This window comes from Homo sapiens, chromosome 5 (assembly GCF_000001405.40).
Source record: "Homo sapiens chromosome 5, GRCh38.p14 Primary Assembly".
Taxonomy (NCBI): Eukaryota; Metazoa; Chordata; class Mammalia; order Primates; family Hominidae; genus Homo; species Homo sapiens.
The window spans coordinates 131577445-131597800 of NC_000005.10; the positions used below are offsets into that span (position 1 = coordinate 131577445).

At 41.4% G+C, this 20356-nt stretch overlaps 1 protein-coding gene across 6 annotated transcripts in view; it reads right to left on the reverse strand.

The window, feature by feature from the left end:
• RAPGEF6 (Rap guanine nucleotide exchange factor 6) overlaps positions 1 to 20356 on the reverse strand; it is a 211309-nt gene that overhangs the window by 153524 nt on the left and 37429 nt on the right. For all 6 annotated transcript variants that reach the window (NM_016340.6, NM_001164388.2, NM_001164386.2 and 3 more), the window contains exon 4: positions 14939 to 15022. In NM_016340.6, coding sequence (NP_057424.3) covers positions 14939 to 15022 — 84 coding nt within the window. The remainder of the gene's footprint in view (positions 1 to 14938; positions 15023 to 20356) is intronic.

Sequence of the window (20356 nt, forward strand, 5' to 3'; positions counted from 1 at the left end):
TACCTTCTTGTTGGGCCTCAATCTCGTGCCAGACACCAGCCCTCTAGGCGACTATCTTCCAGTCCTCCAGCAGGCTAGACAGGAAATTCGCCAGGCTGCTAATCTTCTCTTGTCTACTCCAGATTCCCAGCCATATGAAGACACCCTAGCTGGATGATCAGTTCTTGTTAAGAATCTGATCCCTCAAACTCTATAATCTTGATGGACCAGACCCTACTTAGTCATCTACAGTACCCTAACTGCCGTCCGCCTGCAGGACCCTCCCCATTGGGTTCACCATTCTGGAATAAAGCTGTGTCCATTGGACAGCCAGCCTGATCCCTCCTCTTCCTCTTGGAAGTCACAAGTACTCTCCCCTACTTCCCTTAAACTCACTCGCATTTCTGAAGAACAGTAATAACCCTTATGAGCCTAATACATCCTTTCATCCTATTAGGTCTATTCGTCCTTACCCTACTTTTTGCAACATGGCTTTACGCAGTCACCCCCACTACTTGGACTGCACCCCAAAAACTTGTCATCCCTACTATCTTCTGTCTAGTTATACTCCTATTCACCATTCTCAACTACTCGTAAATGCCCTGCCCTTGTTTACACTGCCGGTTTACACTTTTCCTCCGAACCATCGTAACTGATTATCTTCTGGTTTTTCCTCAAACCGCCACCCTTAACTCTCTCTTGGAGTGGATAGAAGATCTTCAGTGGCAAGGTACACTCCAATTCTTCTATCCTGATGAAGTCCTTTTTTTTAACTTTTCTACTCACTCTTATCCCTGCCCCTATTCTCCAGTCACTCTCTACCTCTCCCTAGTTACCTCCAGCATACTATCAATTGCACCCACTCTCTCCTCACTGCCTCCAATCCTTCTCTAGCAAAGAATTGTTGGCTATGTGTTTCCCTTTCTTCCTGCTCTTACACAGATGTCCCCACTCTATAGGCTGACTGGGCTACCTCTCTTGTCTCCCGGCACCTCCAAACCTCCTTTAATAGCCCCCATCTTTACCTGCCTGAGGAACTTCTTTACTTTCTAGACAGATTTGGTGAGAACTCCCCAGACATTTCACACCAACAAGCTGCCACACTACTCCGCATCTACTTATGGCACCTTTCTCCTTATGTCAATTCCATCCCCCCATATTTGGACCCCTAACCACACAAACAACTATCCCTGTTGCCACTCCTTTATGCATCTTCCAACAACAGCTTACTGGAATCCCTTTAGGCAAACTTCCACCGTCCAAATGTTCCTTTATTCTTTATCTCCAGAACCCAGTCACGCACATTAACAAACAGATGGGAGCATTCCAACTTCGCATTACTGATAAGCCCTCTATCATTATTGACAAACTAAAAAACATTAGCAGTCACTATTGTTTAAGAAGACACCTACTCTGCATCTCACTCAATCCTTGGCTTTGCTCCCCCTGCTCATCTGACTCTCTGCCCAGCACCTCCTCTTGCTTGCTTATATCCAGCCCCATTGTGTCCGAAATTGGTGGGTTCTTGGTCTCACTAACTTCAAGAATGAAGCCGCGGACCCTCGTAGTGAGTGTTACAGTTCTTAAAGGTGGTGTGTCCAGAGTTTGTTCCTTCTGATGTTCGGACGTGTTTGGAGTTTCTTTCTTCTGGCGGGTTCGTGGTCTCGCTGGCTTCAGGAGTGAAGCTGCAGGCCTTCGCGGTGAGTGTTACAGCTCTTAAGGCGGCACCTCTGGAGTTGTTCGCTCCTCCCGTCTGGAGTTGTTCATTCCTGCTGGTGGGTTCATGGTCTTGCTGGCCTCAGGAGTGAAGCTGCAGACCTTCCCGGTGAGTGTTAAAGCTCATAAAGGCAGTATGGACCCAAAGAGTGAGCAGCAGCAAGATTTATTGCAAAAAGCAAAAGAACAAAGTTTCCACAGTGTGGAAGGGGACAGGAGCAGGTTGCCTGCTGGCTGGCACAGCCTGCTTTTATTCCCTTATCTGGCCCCACCCACATCCTGCTGATTGGTCCATTTTACAGAGAGCTGATTAGTCCATTTTACAGAGAGCTGATTGGTCCGTTTTGACAGGGTGCTGATTGGTGCGTTTACAATCCCTGAGCTAGACAGAGTGCTGACTGGTGCATTTACAATCCTCTAGCTAGACACCAAAGTTCTCCAAGTCCCCACTACATTAGCTAGACACAGAGCACTGATTGGTGCATTTACAAACCTTGAGCTAGACACAGGGTGCTGACTGGTGCATTTACAATCCTTTAGCTAGAAACAAAAGTTCTCCAAGTCCCCACTAGATTAGCTAGACACAGAGCACTGACTGGTGCATTTACAAACCTTTAGCTAGACACAGAGTGCTGAATGGTGCATTTACAATCCTTTAGCTAGACATAAAAGTTCTCCACGTCCCCACTAGATTAGCTAGATACAGAGTGCTGATTGGCGCATATACAATCCCTGAGCTAGACACAGAGTGCTGATTGGTACATTTACAATCCTGTAGCTAGACATAAAAGTTCTCCAAGACCCCACCCGACTCAGGAGCCCAGCTGGCTTTGCCTAGTGGACCCAGCACCAGGGCTGCGGGCAGAGCTGCTCGTCAGTCCCAAGCTGCGCGCCTGCACTCCTCAGCCCTTGGGTGGTCGATGGGACCAGGCGCCGCAGAGCAGGGGGTGGCACCCATTGGGGAGGCTCGGGCCGCGTGGGAGCCCACTGTGGGGGGGGGCTCGGGCATGGCGGGCTGCAGGTCCCCAGCTCTGCCCCATGGAGAGGCAGCTGAGGCCTGGTGAGAATTCGAGCGTGGCATGGGCAGGCCGGCAGTGCTGGGGGAACCAGCGCCTCCTCCACAGCTGCCGGCACGGGTGTTAAGCCCCTTACTGCCCAGGGCCGGCAGCACCAGCCGGTCACTCCGAGTGTGGGGCCCACCAAGCCCACGCCCACCCGGAACTTGTGCTGGCCGCACGAGCGCTGAGCGCAGCCCCTGTTCCTGCCCACCCCTCTCCCTCCACAACTCCCTACAAGCAGAGGAAGCTGGCTCCAGCCTCAGCCAGCCCTGAGAGGGGCTCCCACAGTGCAGCGGCGGGCTGAAGGGCTCCTCAAGCGTGGCCAGAGCAGATGCCGAGGAGGCGGTGAGAGCGAGAGAGGGCCGCCAGCACGTTGTCACCTCTCACGGTGAATAGCAGTGAAAGGTTATTCATAGACACTATGTGTTTTCTCATACACCATGAGAACAGAACCTCTCCCTCTACGCAGTTGCAACATCAGTTCCCATTACAACCTCTAATGGCTGCTGCCCTTGCTGGATCTCTAGGATTTGGGGTGCAGGACTCCTCTTGCAGTACACCCTCTCACCTTTTCACTTTACATTTCCAGTTCTGACTGACACAAGGTCTCTTCTTTTTATGTGCCTCTTCCACCCACATGTGCCTACCCGCCAACTGGAAGGGCACATGTACTCTAGTCTTCCTTACCCCCAAAATCCAGCTTGCAGATGGGAATGAACAACTGCCTGTCTCCCTCATGACACCAACACGACAAAAAGAGTCATCCCAGTAATCCCTTTACTTGTGGATCTAGGACTTTCTGCCTCCACTACCAGACTTGGAACTGGAATAGCAGGCATCTCAACCTCTGTCACAACATTCCGCAGCCTCTCCAATGACTTCTCTGCTAGCATTACAGACATATCACAAACTTTATCTGTCCTCCAAGCTCAGGTTGACTCTTTAGCCGCAGCTGTCCTCTAGAACCGCCGAGGCCTTGATTTACTCACTGCTGAAAAAGGAGGACTCTGTATATTTCTTAATGAAAAGTGTTGTTTTTACTTAAATTAATCTGGCTTGGTATATAACATCAAAAAACTCAAAGACAGAGCTCAAAAACTCACTAATCAGGCAACTAATTACACTGGACCCACCTGGCTACTCTCTAACTGAGTATCCTGGCTTCTTCCAATTGTTAGTCCTCTAATACCTATCTTCCTCCTTCTCTTCTTACTCAGGCCTTGGGTCTTCCGATTAATCTCTCAATTCCTACGAAACTGCATCCAGGCTATCACTAATCACTCTACACAACAAATGCTGCTTTTAACTCTACAATATCACCCCTTACCCCAACATCTTACTTCAGTCTAATCTCTCCCACTTAGGTTCCCGTGCCGCCCCTAATCCAGCTCAAAGCAGCCCTGAGAAACCTCACCCATCACCCCTCCATACCGCCCCCAAAATTTTCACCCCAAGTTTTCACTACTCTTTTTCATTTTATTTCTTCATTATTAACATAAAAAGACAGGAATGTAAGGTCCTCTGAGCTGGGCACACCATGGTCAAGTCATGGTGACATTCCCCCAGTCCTTGTGATAATGTACTTGGTGATATTCCCCATCCTTGCAAATGTACTTTGTTAACATTCCTCCCTGCCCTTGTGAATGTACTTTGTAACATTCCTCCCCACCAACCCTTGTGACAATACACCCTCCCTGCCCTTGTGAAAGTATGTTACTTTGTAACATCCTCCTCACCCTTGTGAATGTATTTTGTAACATCCTCCCAGCCCTTGAGAATGTACTTTGTAATATCCATCCCCTGCCGGCAAAAAATTGCTCCTAACTCCACCACCTATCCCAAACCTATAAGAACCAATGATAATCCCACCACCATTCACTGACTCCTTTCCCAGACTCAGCCTACCTGCATCCAAGTGAATAAATAGCCTTGTTGCTCACACTAAGCCTGCTCAGATGGTCTCTTATATGGATGCAGGTAACACATACCACCTGATTTCATGATTTATTATAAAGCTACAGTAATCAGGATAATGTGGTATGGTATCAAGATAGAAAAATAAGTGAAACAAAAAGTTGGGAAATATACCCACAAATACACTGTCAATTAAATTCTAATAAAGGTGCAAAGGCAATCCAGAAGAGAAAAAATATTTTCATCAACAAATGGTGCTGGAACAATTGAGGATGCACAGGCAAAAAGATAAAATTAGATCCACACCTCATATCATATACAAAAATTGGTTTAAATAGATCACACACCTAAATAGATCATAGTAAAAGCTAAAACTGTAAAACTTCCAGAAAAAAAAATTAAGAAAATTATTTGCAACCTTGGGTTAATAGCAGATTTTACATATGACCCCCAAAACATAGTCCATTCAGGGAAAAAAATGATAAACTTAACATCAAAATTAAGTACTTCTGCTCTTTGAAACACAATTAAGAGGGAAAATACAATGCACAAATAGGGAGAAAATATTTGCAAATTATATCCCTGTTAAAGGACTTACATATAGCATACAAGAACTTTTGAAGCACATACAGAACTTTTGAAGCACAAAATAAGAATTTTATTATCAAAAATGGGTCAAAGGCTCAGAGACACTTCATAAAAGATATGAATTCTCATAGACTGCCGGTGAGAATATAAAATGATACAGCTTTGGAGAAGAGTAAGGCACTTTCTTAAAGGTTAAACATGCATCGACCATATAACTTATTGCTAGGTATTTTTCAAAATATATGAAAGTATGTATTCACATAAACACGTACAAAATCTAGCCATCTACTCCTACATATTATGCAGAGAGATGAAAGTATATGACCATATACCTTGTACACAAATGTCCATAACAACATTCTTTGCAAAATAGTCAATAACAGTCAACAACTCAAATGTCCATCAGCAGTTGAATGCTAAACAAATAGTGGAACATCCATATAAACTAACAATAAAATCCTAAACCCCAATCGACTAAATGGACCCCCTCTTGGCCAGGGGCACCCCAGAGAAACCTTGAAAACTGAGTTCCCAGCCATGATGGGAAGGGAGGTCAGACATGCCTTGTTATATCCCCTCCATTGTGAAGTTTAGACACAACTTATGAGTATTAATTGTTTTTTAAAACAGAGATCATAAGACTGACAAAACAGACCCTTTGTGGCAATAAGATGCCAAATTATAAATAAGACCTAAGGCCATGCAAGGCAAGGATTAAGTCACACCTGCAGACCAACAATGTCACTGAACAGGTCATTTTATTGTAACTGACTTGGACATAGCATTCTTAACTTAAACATTCCTTTCTGCTGATTCCAAATTTTCGACAGAGCCTTACTCCTTTAACCAATTAAGGTTCTCTGGATCCACCTATAATCTATAACCCCCTGCTTCAAGACATCCTGCCTTTTTGGGCTGAACTAATTGTATCCCTTCCACATACTGATTTGTGTCTTTGCCTCTTAACTCCTGCCTCCCTGAAATATATAAAACCAAACTGTAGCCCAACCACCTTAGGGCCACTTACTCAAGGCTTCCTGAATTTGTCTTTTCCCCTGGCCATGGTTATTCATACTGGCTCAGAATAAATCTCTTTAAGATATTTTACAGAGTTTGGTTTTCCTGTTAACATCCATGAGAGAACACTGCATTAAGAAGAAATGAAATATTGATACACATAACACGGATAAACCTCAAAATAATTTTACTGAGTGCAAGAAGCTGAATGAGAAAAGAGTACATACTGTATGTTTCACCTTACACAAAAATTTTATAACATGTAAACTAATCTACATTGATGAAAAATGAGTAATGGCCTGGGACCAAGGAAGGGAGCAGGGAACTATGAGAGGGAAAGTTTACAAAGTGGCATGAGGAAACTTTTTCTAGTGATAGAGCTTATTATCTTTGTAATACTGGTGGTTTTACATGTGTTTATATATGCCAAAGCTTATCAAACTGTATACTATAAATCGTGCTGTTCAGTGTATGTCAGTTATACTTCAATAAAGTTTTAAAAATAAATAAAAATGCAAGTCAAATTAATGGGATAAAATGGTTAACAGACAGCTTGCATCCTGGATGTAGAAAGATTCTTATAGAATAATAATGAAACTGCCTCTGCAAAGTTATAACCATAAGAAAATTATGACAGTGAAAGAGATCTGATCTAACCAATACCCAGCTTTCCTTTAACCTCTAAACTGCCCTCAATCATTCCTTGGCCCCGGCCACCCTAACTTTAGGAAACATTTATAGTTTAAATGATAACTAAACTGCTTTTGTAAAGCTAATGAAAGAAAGACCACCAGATTACAAGGATGAGGAGCTGAATTCTGCTAAGCTGTAGACATAAATGATTACCAGTCATTATTCCAAAAGTCACAAGATTTGCAACTCCCTCAATTACTCCTGCAAGTAACAGTGCTATTGTAGAATTTGAGATTGGCCTATTGAGATGTCTTTTCAGGTTTTTAGCATTTCTGATGATTCATCAGTGGCCACCAGGACCCACAGACCTCCTGCTAACCAGTCCTGTGGCTTCACCCAGAATCCAGATTCCCTGGCCCACCAAACTATCCTTAAAAAATCCTAACCTCCAAATTTTGGGAGAGATGAATTTGAGTAATAACTCCATCTCCCACAGGGCGTGGCCAGCCTTGTGTCAATTAAACTCTTTATTACAATGCCATGGTCTCAGTGAATTGGTTTTGTCTGTACAGGTGGGCAGGAAGAATCCACTGGACAGTTACAGTAATAACAGGAGTTTAACAACAGGCACACAAAATTTAAGGGATACTTTATTAAAGAAAAAACAGAAAGCAATGGCCAATAAGCATAAGGGCATAAGGAAAAGTGTTCAACATCATTATTCATCAAAAACATGAAAATTAAAACTGGCACACACATATGTGGATATTTGATTTACATAAAAGGTGGCACTAAATGAGTGAGAAAAGGACATCTAGGTATCCCTATGGAAAACGACGCAACATTATACCATACCCAAAACTCAATTCCAGGTAGACTACAGATTTAACTGTGAAAGGAAAACAAGAAAAGTTCTAGAAAATAAGAAAAAAAAAAAACTATACATACATACATACATACATACATACATACATACATACATACATATATATCTCCATGGCCTTGTGAAAGCAAAGTATCTTGAGCCTCCCAAATCACTAAGCTAAAGGGAAAAGTCAAGCTGGAAACTGCTTAGGGCAAAGCTGCCTCCCATTCTATTCAAAGTCACCCCTCTGCTCACTGAGATAAATGCATACCTGATTGCCTCCTTTGGAGGGGCTAATCAGAAACTCAAAAAAAAACAAAAATGCAACCAGCTGGGCACAGTGGCTCACACCTGTAATCCCAGCATTTTGGGAGGCCGAGGTGGATGGATCACCTGAGGTCACGAGTTCGAGACTAGCCTGGCCAAGATGGTGAAACCCCGTCTCTACTAAAAATATAAAAATTAGCTGGGTGTGGTGGCGGGCACCTGTAATCCCAGCTACTGGGGAGGCTGAGGCAGGAGAATAGCTTGAACCCATGAGGTGGAGGGTGCAGTGAGCCAAGATCGCGCCATTGCACCCCAGCCTGGGCGGCAAGAGCGAAACTCCGTCCCCAAAAAACAAACAAAAAAAGCAACCATTTGTCTCTTATCTACCTATGACCTGGAAGCCCCCTCTCTGTTTCAAGTAGTCCTGCCTTTCCAGACTGAACCAATGCTGATCTTACATATGTTGATTGAGGTCTTATGTCTCCCTAAAACGTATAAAACAAAATTGTGCTCTGACCACCTTGAGCACATGTCATGAGGACCTCCTGAGGCTGTGTCACAGGCACACGTCCTCAGCCTTGGCAAAATAAACTTTCTAAATGAACTAAGACCTGTCTCAGATTTTTGGGGTTCACAACCTCAGAAACAGGAAAGACAAATTTTTCTACATTAGAATTAAGAGCTCATGTTCATCCAAAGACGTTACTAACAGAATGAATACGACAATGAATAAGACAGAGTGGGGAAAAGTATTTCCAACAAAAATAACCAAGCAAGGTTTCTTATTCAGAATATATAAAAAATTTCTACATCTCAAAAACAAAAAGACAACTTATTAGGAAAATGAGGAACAGACCTGAGAAGTCACTTTACAAAAAAGGTCATTCTAGGCTGGGTATGGAGGCTCAAGCCTCTAATCCCAGCACTTTGGGAAGCCAAGGCAGGTGGATTACTTGAGGCCAGCAGTGGTGAAACCCTGTCTCTACTAAAAATACAAAATTTAGTTGGGCGTGGTGTCACGCACCTGTGGTCCCATCTACTTGGGAGGCTTAGGCAGGAGAATTGCTTGAACCTGGGAGGTGGAGGTTGCAGTGGGCCAAAATTGTGCCACTGCACTCCAGCCTGGGTGACAAAGTAAGACTCTATCTTAAAAAAAAAAAGTCATTCTAATGAAAATGTATTCATCGGCAGTCATTAAAATGCAAATCAAAACTATAAAATTGAAAAGAATGACTGAAATTAAGCAGCCAAAAACTTTAAAGTAAAAAGACTTGTATTACTAAGTGTTGGTTAGAATGTGGAACAATGGGAACTCTCACACACCACTGGTGGGTGTGTAAATTAGTGCATCAATTTGGAATGCAACTTGGAATTAACAAAGCTTAATGTAGGCACACCCTGTTGAGACAGTCAAGTGTAAAGGGGTTCCCAGAAAAATTCTAACTGGCCTGCACACTGGGAGAAGCACACACAGGGGTGGAGCCACAGAAGTCTGTGCCCTTTGCTGTGAGGAAGAGCCTGGCCCCTCCTCTTCCTGCATGGTACCTGGGATTCAATCTGCCAGGTGGGAAGCATACTAGCAGAAATTGGTTTTGCAGAGAATTCTTGTTTCCCCTTTTTCCTTTTTGCCCAATAGATTCCATTATTCTCATCCTTCAAAGTGTCTGTGAGCCTAGTATTTCATGGCTGTGTAACAAGACCCGGCTCTTAGCTGAACTAAAAGGAAGTCCTACAACACTGTGAGCCAACAATTCCTTGTTAAGTATATACAACAGAAATGTATCCACATGTGCATCTAATATACAAAAATGTTCACAGCTGCATTACTTATAATAACCCTCAACTAAGGTATACATATCCACAGGCCAAAACTCTTCAGAGATACAAGACTGATTAAAATTCAGGAAACTGGTGTTGAGGAAAAGTAAGAGAGTAGATTTAAGAAAAGGCATGGAAGCTGCTTCTAGGTAATGACAATGTTCAATTTCTTGATATGGGTAGTGATTAGACAAACATTCAATGTATAGTAACTCACTAACATGTAGATTTATGTTATCTGCACTTTTCCCCATATTATATTTCTCAATAAAAGAGCTAAAACTAGAGAGTTGTTGGAACTCAGAAAACAATACTCCAAAATATGGTGCTTTGGCACGGTGAGTTCTTTAAAGGATATTGAAACGACTCAAAGGCAAAGTCTCTGACCTTCTCTTGCCCCTCTTTCTCCCTCAAAGTGAGTAACAGAAACCTCTTTCCCAAGGTGAGTCATAGAAAGTAGAACTCCTCTTCCCCAAAGGAAGCCATAAAACCTAGAAATGTTACTCTCCTTTCTCCCTTGAAAACCCTCATTCCAGAGGGGTCCTGCCCCCTACCTGGAAGGAAGGAATGCTACATAGGCCAAGAAAAATCTGGAAAGGCCTTGCTGGGTTTGCTCCCTCAGTCTGTTTAGAGTAAAGATCTTAGGTCCACAAGGTATTTCCTTATGGACAAATCATGAGGGAGCAATGTAGCTTTTTTTTTTTTTTAAATTTTTGTAGCTATCTTATTTAGGAATAAAATGGGAGGCAGTTTTGCTGGATGCTGTTCCCAGCTTGACTTTTCTCTTTGACTTAGTGATTTGGGGGTCCTGAGATTTATTTTCCTCTCATAAACTCATTCACACTATTTTTGCTTCCCCTCCCAACAACTCTAAGCTCTGCTGGTTTGGAGGCTTAGTGTACAAAAGAGTATTGCTTCTACCAGTAAACACAACAATGGTTCCACTGAACTAGAGACTTCTACCTAGTCATTAAACCAACAGGCAGCAAAAGAGGTTAGTCTACTGGCCCACGTGACTGATTCCAATTAGCAGAGGAAAAATGGGTTACTGCACAAAATGTAGGCAAGAAAGACTACATCTGGAACTTAGGCCATTCTCTTATGCTCCTGTTAGTATTGCCATGCCCACTATTAAAGATTAATGGGGCCAGGTGCGGTGGCTCACACTGTAGGGTGGCTCACACTGTAATCCCAGCACTTTGGGAGGCCAACGCAGGTGGATCACTTGAGGTCAAGAGGTCGAGACCAGCCTGGCCAACATGGTGAAACCTCATCTCTACTAAGAATACAAAAATTAGCCAGGTGTGGTGGTGCACACCTACAGTCCTAGCTACTTGGGATGCTGAAGCAGAGGGATCACTTGAACCTGGGAGGCAGAGGTTGAGGTGAGCCGAGACTGAGCCACCGCACTCCAGCCTTGGCAACAGAGTGAGACTCCGTCTTAAAAAACAACAACAACAACAACAAAAACAATAAAGATTAATGGAAAACAGCCAGGCGAGGTGGCTCACACCTGTAATCCTAGCACTCTGGGAGGCCAAGGGAGGCAGATCACTTGAGGTCAAGAGTTTGAGACCAGCCTGGCCAACATGGTACCCTGTCTCCACAAAAAGTATAAAAATTAGCCGGGCATGGTGGTGCATGCCTGTAATCCCAGCTACTTGGGAGACTGAGACAGGAGAATTGCCAGAACCCGGGAGGCAGAGATTGCAGTGTACTGGGATCACATCACTGCATTCCAACCTGGGTGACAGAGTGAGACTCTGTCTTAAAAAAAAAAAGGTTAATGAAAAACTACAGCAACTAAGAAAAAGGCAGGATAGTTGAAGACACATCAAAATTAAAGTTTTGTTCCAATCACAAAGTAAAGGACACAGAACAGCTGAAGTTTTAGTTAAGGCAAGAAATACTGAATGGGTAGTGAAAGACAGAGATATGAACTATAGCCTTGTGTCCCATTATAGAAACAAAGACTGTAGTAAGTAGCTTTTTGCATTTTCTCTTTGCTTACTATATATATAGTATAAGATATTGAAGGTAAACTTTATAAGGTAGTCTTTAGTTAACAGAATATTCAGAGGCACTATGACAGATTACATACAAATATAGCTAGCAATGATTGTTGTTGTGTGTCTCCTTATTTGGGGGAGAGGGTAAGAACTCCATTTGTATAAAGGATAGTTTTGTCTTGTTACGTAGACACAGATTGTTGAATGGAATTTCAAGTGTGTTTAGAAGCATTCATAAGGAAGCTGAGCAGCCAGGGGAGTGGACTGTGACAGTTATTTACTGCCTCTCCAAACATACTGGCTCTCAGCTTCAAATCTACCCTTTATTGCCATACTTTGTGATAAGGATGAGAATTGTGTAAATGTTCTCCTTTGCTAGCTGAAAATGTTACAGTTTTGTCAGCAGAGGGTGCTAGAGTAACACTGCAGTAAGAAAGTCTTTCCTCTGCAATTGGAGGGCTTCTGTTTCCTGTCCCCAGCTTCAGGGGCCATCTGCATCCTGGTAAGGGGGGTCTCCTAAGTGCCACTCCTGGTCAGCAGTTCCCTTCCCCTTCCTGCCAGCCTTGACCAGACAACTGTGGACCAGCTCTGTCCCAGAGCAACCCAGTGAATGTCTCTGCTATTTATTGGGCTGCAACTAACATTCTTCAACCAAGTCTCAACTCTAGTCGTGAGGAAGGGGTCTGTCTCCCTTTCAAGTTTGTTTTGTCTTTGGGAACTCGCCCTCAGCTGTAGGGTATTCTGCTTTATCCTTCTTAGTAGCTAATCCCTTGAACTAGTTTAATTTTAAAATTAAACTTTACCTGCTCAGGCCAGGTACAGTGGCTCATGTCTGTAATCACAGCACTGTAATGCCCAAGGCGGGCAGATCACTTGAGGTCAGGAGCCTGAGACCAGTCTAGCCAACATGGTGAAACCCTGTCTTTACTAAAAATACAAAAATTAGCTGGGTGTGGTGGCACACACCTGTAATCCCAGCTATTCGGAAGGCTAAGGCAGAATTGCTTGAACCCAGAAGGCGCAGGTTGCAGTGAGCCAAGATCATGCCACTGCCCTCCAGCCTGGGCAACAGCGACTCTGTCTCAAATTTAAAAAATCATAATAATAAAAAAATCAAACTTCACTTGTTCCAATTACGGTATGGTTTCTGTATTCTGACTGAAGAAGCCAAAAATTACTTGATGCTTAATATATGCTAAGCATTATTCCAGGTAGTTTATTTGTTATAGTAACTCACAAATCCTAAAAATGAACCTACAATAGCCTATTATAAATCTTTCACACAAAAGATAAATTCCCTAATCAGTATTATTCTTTAGAATAAAGATTAAACTTCCATAATCATGTTTCCTGTGAAGTTTATGATTACATTAATGCATACCATGATTTTTCTAAAATCTCAAACATTCTGATTATTTACTTAAAAAGATAAACTTCATTGTCTTGATCACAAACTAGTAGTGAATTATTGCAGTTGATTAAGGGCTATTAAAAGTCCTCATAACAAAGATCTTGACCATTCAGAACAGCAGGAGTGTTCAACAGAAAAATACTAATAATCTTAAAATATAACCATAGGCAATATCAATCCAGCATATTCAGTTCTCAGGGACTAACAATACAAATTCATTAATGTGAGTTTCACAAATACAGGGAAAAGGAACAATGGCCAAAAAGCTCAAAAAAAGCCAAGAACTACTATATATTTATAAATACAGTCAACTATATGTGTTATTCAACTGGTCAATTAGCACATTTCATTTAACCAAAGGCCAATGATGTAAAGTTTCAGGAGTCAAGGCATGACTTCTAAAATGATATTTAAATTGAGATGTCCCATATCCTGATATTTATGTTAAATAGTTATGCCACTAAATTAACTACAATTGGAAGTCTTACTTTAAAAGCCTAGAAATTTCTTCTCAACATTTTGGGAAAAAAGTCACAAAAAATTACATTTTTATGTCACTAAAGCATACGTTGAGGCCCTAAAATCTTAATAATTACTAACAGAATTCCACAACTGACCTTCTTTCTACCACCCTTCTCTTTTACCTAATAGTTAAAATAATTAACAATTACTTCTAACAGCCAGGCACTGTTCTAAGAGCTTTATGTAGAGTAAGTCATTTATTTCTCAGAACTAGCTTATGCTATGAAAGAGGTTGTATTATTATGCTCATTTTACAAATGAGCAAAGTAAGGCACAAAGAAATTAAGTAATCTGCCCAAGAAACAGTAGAGCAGATATGAACTCATGAAGTCTGGCTCCAGAGTGTGAACCCTTATAGACTTCTGTTGAGAACATTTGTAGTAGTTTCCTAACACCTCATGACAATACTTAAGTAGGTACCATTATTATTCCCATTTGTCAGCCAAGAAAACTAAAATTTGTCCAAAGTCACATAACTAGTGATGGAATCAGAATTTTAATCTAGTTGATTTACTCCAAAAACCAATTTCTTAACTATTATATCACCTCTCTACACCCAATAACAGCAATGAATCAAAAACCAATTAGATAAATCAGATCAAATCGTACATAAAACTAATTTTTTTTTCTTTGGAGATGGAGTTTCGCTCTTGTTGCCCAGGCTGGAGTGTAATGGCGTGGTCTCAGCTCACGGCAACCTCCACCTCCCAGGTTCAAGCGAGTCTCCTGCCTCAGCCTTCTGAGTAGCTGGAATTACAGGTATGCGCCACCACACCTAGCTAATTTTGTATTTTAATAGAGACGGGGTTTCTCCACATTGGTCAGACTAGTCTCGAACTCCCGACCTCAGGTGATCCGCCCGCATCAGTCTCCCAAAGTGCTGGGATTACAGGTGTGAGCCACCGTGCCCAGCCCCATAAAACTAATTTTCAGACAGGAAGAAGATATCATGTCATGGTGTAAGCTTACAGATTATACCCTCAGAAATAACAAAAGATTAACTGATTCCTGCCAAGTATTTCCAATGGTGCCAACAAGCAAAGACATTTAAAAGATGTATCACTTACTGAAAGAAAATATACATCCTATACAAAATAGTTTAACATTAACTTTGCCTGCCATATAGCAAATGTAAACGTACCTGCAAGGAGGCAAGACCATGGAGCCTTTCACAAGCACAGATCCAGAAAGTAGGATATACCAACATCTGGCAATCGTTTCTGAACTGTTTAAATAAATAAGTAAATAAATGAGCAAAACAACACACATGTTCATATGTATATGAATTCAATAAGAAATATATTCTGATAATAGTACAAATAATTAAAAATGAAGTAACACTACCTGGAAATTTGGAATATTTTGCCTGTTGCCTAAGGTTTTATACAGACCACGTTTATGTGAAATAAAAGTATAATCACTATCTTAAGATACATACTATAAAACACCAATACTTAAAGTGAATAAAGTATTTTGGAAATACATTTTAGCAAAAAACAACAATCATTGTTTATACTGTTCCTTGAAATAAATTTCAGTTTAATTAAAGCTTTAAAGCTAAGAAAGCAATTAAGAAACATGTTTCCTAGAAAAAAAGAAAACAGAAGAATTGTATCACACTTGTAGAAGAAAATAACATTTAATTCTGAAGTATATTAGCACATACAAGTTAAAACTTGAATACAACAAAAAGATGAACAGAAAATAATTTTCAAATGTGATACAATTAAAGATAATACCTGTAATAGGTATCAGTACTCACAGAAATGCATTACTATTTCAAGTAGTAAATGAACAGAAGATTAAAACAGACAATTCTTAACAGCTACACAGAACACAGAGTCACTAGTAAACAGAAAATGCAAATGAAAACAACTCTAAAATACTAACCAAATCCACATATAGTATCCATTTTACAGGGGCTGTGATAAAAATTTATTCACTGCTTACTAATACTACAAATCAAAATCACCAAAACCCTTTTTCCAAATCAATATAGGAATCTTCAGCACAAGCCACAAGGATGTCATAACCTTTAGCTCCACAATGTTATCCCAAGGAATTTACCACAGAGAAATCATTCTTATTCTTCACAACAAAGTTTCAGATGAAGTTTTTCTCACTGCCTATGTTTTCTAATTTTGCTATAATTATATGTGCAATAATAGAAATACAAATTATTAGTAATAGTGGGGCACTGCTACAAAGATACCTGAAAATGTAGAAGTGACTTTGGAACTGGGTAACGGGCAGAGGCTGGAATGGTTTGGAGGACTCAGAAAAAGACAGAAAAGATGTGGAAAAGTTTGGAACTTCCTAGAGACTTGTTGAATGCTTTTGACCAAAATACTGATAAGTGATATAAACAATGAAGTCCAGGCTGAGGTGATCTCAGATGGAGATGAGGAACTTACTGGAAACTGGAGTAAAGGTCACTCTTGCTATGCTTTAGCAATTAGACTGGTGGCATTTTGCCCCTGCCCTACAGATCTATGGAACTTAGAACTTGAGACATGATTTAGGGTATCTGGGAGAAGAAATTTCTAAGCAGCAAAGCATTCAAGAGGTGATCTGATTGTTTCTAAAAGTGTACGTTCATATGCATGAACAAAGAGATTATCTGAAACTGGAACTTATATTTTAAAGGGAAGCAGAGCATAAAAGTTTAGAAAATTTGCAGCCTGATAATGTGGTAGAAAAGAAAACCCCATTCTCTGGGGAGAAATTCAAGCCCGCTGCAGAAATGTGCACAAAAGGAGCCAAATGTTAATAGCCAACACAATGGGGAAAATGTTTCCAGGGCATTTCAGAGTCTTTCAAGGCAGCCTCTCCTATCACAGGCCCAGAGGCCAACCAAAAATGATTCATGGGCTGGGCCCAGGACCCTGCTACTCTGTGTAGCCTCAGGACATGGTACCCTGCATCCCAGCTGCTCCAGCTCCATCTGGGGGCAGATTTACCGCATGCTGTTCTCATGATAGTGAGCTCTCACAAGATTTGCTAGTTTAAAACTGTGTGGCCAAAAGGGGCCAACAGTATAGCTCAAGCCATTGAATCAGAGGCTGCAAGCCTCAAGCCTTGGCGGCTTCCACATGGTGTTGGGCCTGCGGGTACGCAGAGGTCAAAAGTTGAGGTTTGGGAATCTCTGCCCAGATTTCAGAGGATGTATGGAAATGCCTGGATGTCCAGGAAGAAGTGTGCTGTAGAGGCAGAGCCCTCATGGAGAACCTCCACTAGGGCAGTGCAGAGGGAAAATGTGGGGTTGGAGCCCCCACACAGAGTCCCCACTGGGGCACTATCTAGTGGAGCTGCGAAAAGGGGGCCATTGTCCTTCAGACCCCAGAATGGTAGAACCACAGTTTGCACTAGGAGCCTAGAAAAGCCACAGGCACTCAACGCCAGCCCATGAAGGTAGCCACAGGGGCTGTACCCTGCAGAGCCACAGGGGCAGAGCTGCTCAAGGCCTTGGGAGCCCACCACTTGCCTCAGGGTGCCCTGGATGTGAGACATGGAGTCAACGGAGGTTATTTGGAAGCTTTAAGATTTAATGACTGCCCTGCTGGGTTTCGGACTAGCATGGGACCTGTAGCCCCTTTATTTTGGCCAATTTCTACCATTTGGAACAGGAGCATTTACCCCATGCCTGTATCTCCATTGTATTTTGGAAGTAACTTGTTTTTGATTTTACAGGCTCATAGGTGGAAGGGACTTCCCATGTCTCAGATGAGACTTTGGACTTGGACTTTTAAGTTAATGCTGGATTGAGTTAAGACTTTGGGGGACTGCTGGGAAGGCATGATTGGTTTTCAAATGTGAGAAGGACATGAGATTTGGGAGGGGCCAGTGGTGGAATAATATGGTTTGGCTCTATGTCCCCACTCAAATCTCATGTTGAATTGTAATCCTCATGTGTCAGGGGAGGGACCTGGTGGGAGGCGACTGGATCATGGGGACAGATTTTCCCCCATGCTGTTCTCATGACAGTGAGTTCCACAAGATCTGATGGTTTAAGTGTGGCATTTCCCCCCATCGCATTCTCTCTCTGTCTCCTGCTCACCGTGGTAAGGAGTGCTTGTTTCCCCTTCACCTTCTGCTGTGATTGTAAGTTTCCTAAGACCTCCCACTCATGCTTCCTGTGAAGCCTGTGGAACTGTGAGTAAATTAAACCTCTTTTCTTCACAAATTACCCAGTCTCAGGTAGTTCTTTATGACAGCGTGAGAATGGAGTAATACAGAGACCAAAGTTAATTTGCTATCAGCTTAAAATAGTGCATTATAACAAGAGTCTTTATGCTAGCTCTATAGTAAACATAAAGTAAGTACAGCAGATACACAAAGGAGAAAGAGAAAGGAAACAAAGTATAGCACCACAGTGAGCCACAAAACCACAGAGATGAACAAGAGAGAAAGAAGGCTACAGAAAAAAAAATCTATAAAACAACCAGAAAACCATTAACACAAAGGCAGGAATAAATCCTTACCTATAAATAACAGCCTTGAATGTAACTGGGTAAGCTCCTCCAATTAATAGATATAGAATGGCTGAATGGATAATAAAACCCAAATGTATGCTGCGTATAACAGACTCACCTCACTGTTAAAGACATAGATTGAAAGTTAAGGGACAGAGGTTGGGTGCAGTGGCTTATGCCTGTAATCCTAGCACTTTGGGAGGCTGAGACAGGCAGATCACTTGAGGTCAGGAGTTCAAGACCAGCCTGGCCAACATGGCGAAACCCTGTCTCTACTAAAAAATACAAAAATTAGCTGGGTGTGGTGGTACGCGCCTGTAATACCAGCTACTTGGGAGGCTGAAGCACAAGAATCGCTTGAACACAGGAGGCAGAGGGTGCAGTGAGCCAAGGTCGCACCACTGTGCTCCACCCTGGGGAGCAGTGCGAGACTCCATCATATAAAAAAAAAAAAAAAAGTTAAAGGATAGAAAAAGACATCCATGCAAATGGAAAGCCAAAGCAAACAGGAGTAGCCATGCTTACTTTAAGTCAAAAACTGTAAAAAGAGACAGAAAAGGTGATTATATAATGATAAAGGGATCAATTCAACAGGAAGATATAACAATTACATTATTTATAATATATATTATATAATCATTATATAATATATATTTGTGTCTCATATATATATTTACAGTATATATTAACACACACACCCCAAACACTGGAGTGCCCAAGCTTGTAAAGCAAATATCATTAGATATAAAGGGAGAGACAGACTATAATAGAGTAATAGCAGGGAATGCAAATACCCTACTTTCAGCAATGGACAGATCGATAGACCTCAAAATATACTACAAAGCTACTGCAACCAAAAAAGCATGGTACTGACATAAAAACAGACCAATAGAGCAGAATGGATATCCCAGAATTAAACAGACAACTGATTTTCAAAAAAGGTGCCAAAGACACTTAGAAAATGTATATCTCCTTGCAGAAGAATAAGACTAAACTCCTACCTCTCACTATATACAAAAATCAACTCAAAATGGATTAAAGACTTAAATGTGAAACCTGAAACCACGAAATCTACTGGAAGAAAATAGGGGAAAATGCTATACAACACTGTGCTAGGCAAGGATTTTTAAAGCGAAGACCTCAAAACACAGGCAACAGAAACAAAAACAGATAAATCTGATTACATCAAACTAAAAAGTTTTTGCGCAGCAAAGGAAACAACTGACAAAATGAATAGACAACCTACAGAAATAGGAGAGAATTGCAAACTATACCTCTGACAATGGGTTAATATCCAGAATATATAAAAAACTTAATAGCAAAAAAAAACTGATTAAAAATGGGCAAAATAGCTCAACAGACATTTCTGAAAAGACATAAAAATAGCCAATAGGTATATAAAAAAATATTCAAATAAACTAATCATCAGGGAAATGCAAACTCAAATCACAACAAGACACCACTTCATTCCAGTGAGAATGGCTACCATCAAAAAGACGAAAACAAGTGTTGGCGAGGATTTCAGGAGAAGGGAACACTTATACACTGTTGGTGGGAACGTAAATTAGTAGTTATTATGGAAAACAATATGGAGGTTACTAAAAAAAAAAAAAATGGAACTTCTAGGTAATCCTGCAATCCTACTACTGGATACATATCCAAAGGAAATGAAATCAGTATGTTACAGAAATATCTGCACTCCCATATTTTACAATAGCCAAAATACAGACTCAACCCAAGTGTCCAACAATGAATGAACAGATAAAGAAAATGGGGTATATATACTCAATAGAGTATCATTCAGCCATGAAAAGAATGAAATCCTGTCATTTGCAGCAATATGGATGGAACTGGAGGATATTATGTTAAGTGAAATAAGACAGACATAGAGAGGCAAATACTGCAGAATATCACTTATACGTGGAATCTAAAAAATAAAAAGTTGATACCATAGAAGTGGAGTAGAACTGTGGTTACCAGAGACTGGAGTGGGGAGGTGGGAGAGAAAGATGAGGAGAGGTTGGGTAGTGGGTACAAAGTTACAACAAAATAAGAAAAATAAATTCTGGTGTTCCATTGCACAGTAG